The following is a 1,896-nucleotide window of genomic DNA, read 5'->3' as shown; positions in this document are numbered from 1 at the left end:
AACCAGATTAAATCCCTGGTGAACTCTTGTAAATAGAATTTCACTTCTAGAGGATTGTCAGCATGCTCAGCAGAGTACAAAGTTATCTATTCAATGTGCATGGTAATTTAGCTAGTCAGCAGCAGGAGAAATGGTAATAGGTACACAGTGATTTATAATAACTGGTAATGAGGTAGACACAGCAGGTAATCTCAGCACAGAATAACTTGGCAGAGGAGACGGGAAGGGCAGATTCAGACATTGTTGCGATGAGGCTACGGTTTAAGCTGGGGAGTAAACAGCAAGCGGCCGCATCGGTGCTGTCCGCTCTGAGCACTGTGCAGACTGGCTTCATGTCCAGTGCTGCAGCCTGTGGCCACTCATCTGTCTTCCCAGCAGACGACAACTGTCCCAGCCTCACGACTCCTCGAAACAACTACTGTTGCTGTTTTTCTTCTGTTTTCGTCACTTTGATAATATGTCAGTAATGTGTTCTGTCCCATAAATGGCGGTGAATTTAGAAAACAAAACCGAAAGCAGCTCAGTAGCTGTCAGTGAAGAGCTTCATGTGTCCAGGCATTCAGGGACCCCAGAGATAGCATTTGCATGTTGTGCTCACTGCAAACTTGGGCAGTCATAATCTTGGAGGCATTGTTGTCCTCATTTTATAAGCAACAGTAAAACATTACCTTTATAGTAGACTGGATTGTTAAATCCAGGAAGATTCATGCCCTGTTAATCTTGTCCCCTGCTACCATGACTCCAAGTATTTTTAATTCCACAAAGCCTTTCTGCAGTTTTCATCACCTTCTTGTTTTCCCTGACTGCTTCCTTATTCTGGTATTTTGCTGAGTCATGATAAGGTATCAGAGAACCAACATGTAGGAACAAGTAAAGAGAATCCTAATGTTTTGGCTCAAAATAAAAGGATGGAGGAAGATCTACCAAGCAAATGGAAAACAAAAAAAGGCAGGGGTTGCAATCCTAGTCTCTGATAAAACAGACTTTAAACCAACAAAGATCAAAAGAGACAAAGAAGGCCATTACATAATGGTAAAGGGATCAATTCAACAAGAGGAGCTAACTATCCTAAATATTTATGCACCCAATACAGGAGCACCCAGATTCATAAAGCAAGTCCTCAGTGACCTACAAAGAGACTTAGACTCCCACACATTAATAATGGGAGACTTTAACACCCCACTGTCAACATTAGACAGATCAACGAGACAGAAAGTCAACAAGGATACCCAGGAATTGAACTCAGCTCTGCACCAAGCAGACCTAATAGACATCTACAGAACTCTCCACCCCAAATCAACAGAATATACATTTTTTTCAGCACCACACCACACCTATTCCAAAATTGACCACATAGTTGGAAGTAAAGCTCTCCTCAGCAAATGTAAAAGAACAGAAATTATAACAAACTATCTCTCAGACCACAGTGCAATCAAACTAGAACTCAGGATTAAGAATCTCACTCAAAGCCACTCAACTACATGGAAACTGAACAACCTGCTCCTGAATGACTACTGGGTACATAACGAAATGAAGGCAGAAATAAAGATGTTCTTTGAAACCAACGAGAACAAAGACACCACATACCAGAATCTCTGGGACGCATTCAAAGCAGTGTGTAGAGGGAAATTTATAGCACTAAATGCCTACAAGAGAAAGCAGGAAAGATCCAAAATTGACACCCTAACATCACAATTAAAAGAACTAGAAAAGCAAGAGCAAACACATTCAAAAGCTAGCAGAAGGCAAGAAATAACTAAAATCAGAGCAGAACTGAAGGAAATAGAGACACAAAAAACCCTTCAAAAAATCAATGAATCCAGGAGCTGGTTTTTTGAAAGGATCAACAAAATTGATAGACCGCTAGCAAGACTAATAAAGAAAAAAAGAGAGAAG

The sequence above is a fragment of the Homo sapiens genome, chromosome 4 (genome assembly GCF_000001405.40).
Source record: "Homo sapiens chromosome 4, GRCh38.p14 Primary Assembly".
Lineage (NCBI taxonomy): Eukaryota > Metazoa > Chordata > Mammalia > Primates > Hominidae > Homo > Homo sapiens.
Note: the sequence above shows the minus strand (reverse complement) of the source record.